The 2,439-nt window shown below is 43.6% G+C and overlaps 1 annotated feature.

Moving 5' to 3' along the window:
• Window positions 1,539-2,086: an enhancer, noted in NCBI's record as "OCT4-NANOG hESC enhancer chr3:78402403-78402950 (GRCh37/hg19 assembly coordinates)". NCBI's record gives its function as "activates a minimal SCP1, AML or CMV promoter by ChIP-STARR-seq in primed H9 embryonic stem cells {active_cell/tissue: H9 hESC(primed)}" and the evidence as "EXISTENCE:reporter gene assay evidence [ECO:0000049][PMID:30033119]".

Raw genomic sequence — 2,439 nt, 5'->3', positions numbered from 1 at the left:
CAAAAGAGCACACTGTAACACACACCCTCTGGGGCTCCAGGGGTCACAGGCAACCCCTAGATGCTGCTGCAGGGCCGCGCAAAGTTCTGCTCCTGCCAGTTGCCCAGAAGCAGCTTGTCTTGGCCTCTGCACCCACTCATCTGCATGCTCCCCCTCCCACAAGGGGTTGAGAGCTGCAAGCTGAGTAAATAAGACAACCCCTTTGCTAGTTCTGCGAACTGTCCTGTTTCATCGGCTTTAGTATTGGTATTTTCTGAAAGTTACCAGGTAATTTTAATATGCAGCCAGGTTTGTGAATAACTGGTAGACTTTTTTTTTTTTTTTTGAGATGGAGTCTTACTCTGTCGCCTAGGCTGGAGTGCAGGGGCGCGATCTCGGCTCACTGAAAGCTCCGCCTCCCGGGTTCATACCATTCTCCTGCCTCAGCCTCCTGAGTAGCTGGGACTACAGGCACCGCCACCACACCCAGCTAATTTTTTGTATTTTTTAGTAGAGACGGGGTTTCACCGTGTTAGCCAGGGTGGTCTCGATCTCCTGACTTCGTGATCCGCCCGCCTCGGCCTCCCAAAGTGCTGGGATTACAGGTGTGAGCCACCATGCCCGGCCAACTGGTAGACTTTTTTTAAATAGAGCTAAGACAACATACAGAGTGGGATATGGGATTTAAGAAAGTTTATTATTGTTATTATTAATATTTAAGATATTATTATTATTTAAGATAAAAATGTTTAAGCTCGTGTGTATCAATAATCACATAAAATATAAGCAGTGTGTAGGGGCCAAAGGTTCCTTGGCCCTCTAAAGTTTCACTGAAAAATCAATTCACGGCTGGTCGCCGTGGCTCGCGCCTGTAATCCCAGCACTTTGGGAGGCCGAGGCGGGCGGATCATGAGGTCAGGAGATCGAGACCACCCTGGCTAACACGGTGAAACCCCGTCTCTACTAAAAATACAAAAAAAAATTAGCTGGGCGTGGTGGCGGGCGTCTGTAGTCCCAGCTACTCGGGAGGCTGAGGCAGGAGAATGGCGTGAACCCGGGAGGTGGAGCTTGCAGTGAGCCGAGTTGGCGCCACTGCACTCCAGCCTGGGCAACAGAGCCAGACTCTGTCTCAAAAAGAAAAGAAAAAGAAAAATCAGTTCACAAAAGGCAGACCAATTGGAGAAAAATCATACAAATTTATTTAATACATATACATGAGAGCCTTCAGAATGAAGACCTGAGGATAAAGGGTCCATTTTTATGCTTAGGTTCAACAAAGTATGAACAGCTGTGTAGAAATATAAATGGACAAACAGGCATAGTGTAATACTAGTAGATTTGGTGGGGAAACGTAGTAAGGCCTATCTGCGCAGAGTCTCCTTGCCCTCTCTAAGTATGGATTTCTTCCATCTGGCTGTGGGGCAGGACCCTCTCTAGAATGGAGATCTTATGACCTACAGTCCAACAAGCTAGGATGGATAATTTCTTTATGACTAGATTTTATATAAAAAGGTGGAAGGACAGTTAGAGTTATATTTTTAGATGACAATAAAAAAGTCAAACTCTGTAAAATATTTAAAGAGATTTATTCTGAGCCAAATATGAGTGACCATGGCCCGTGACACAGCCCTCGGGAGATCCAGAGAACATGAGCCCAAGGTGGTCGGGACACAGCTTGGTTTCATACATTTTAGCGAGGCCTGAGACATCAATCAAATACATTTAAGAAATACATTGGTTTGATTCAGAAAGGCGGGACAACTCAAAGTAGGCAGTGCTTCCAGGCTATAGGTAAATTTAAACATTTTCTGATTGACAATTGGTTAAGTTTGTCTAAAGACCTGGGATCAATAGAAAGGAAATGTTTACGTTAAGATAAAAGATTGTAGAGACCAAGATTCTTTTGAAGTCTTATAGTGGCTGCCCTTAGAGACAATAGATGACAATGTTCCCTATTGAGACCTTTAAAAAGGTGCTAGACTCTTACTTAATCTCTTTAGGATTGGGAGGATCTGGAAGTAAAAGATCTAGTTATTTTAATAGAGAATCTTTACAAATGCAAATTTTCCCCCACCAAGAACAGATTTGCAGGGCCATTTCAAGATACGGCAGAGAAATACATTTTGGGGTAAAATATTTTTATTTTCTTCCTTGTTTCCTAATGTTATGCAAGAGTAAATGACGATATATAGGGCTAAATAAAACCCATCTGATGAGAATTTATGGTTTGTAGGGCATGACTCCCCAGACCCCTTAGATAGGAATCTGGGCAAGATTAAAAAGGAAAATCAGAGCTTATTCCTCATAGGTTTTATGCCTGGCTTTGGGGAAAAGGAGTTCTGGTTTCCATGACCTTGGGAAAGAGGGATTCTACTTTTTACGGCTAGCCTCGAGGGGGAATGGGACTGAGAGAAGGAGTACGGGAGAAGATCAAAGAAAAACTTAACTTCTGAGGCTATT

Source organism: Homo sapiens, chromosome 3 (assembly GCF_000001405.40).
Source record: "Homo sapiens chromosome 3, GRCh38.p14 Primary Assembly".
NCBI classification, from domain to species: domain Eukaryota; kingdom Metazoa; phylum Chordata; class Mammalia; order Primates; family Hominidae; genus Homo; species Homo sapiens.
This window is presented reverse-complemented; position numbering and strand designations above follow the sequence as displayed.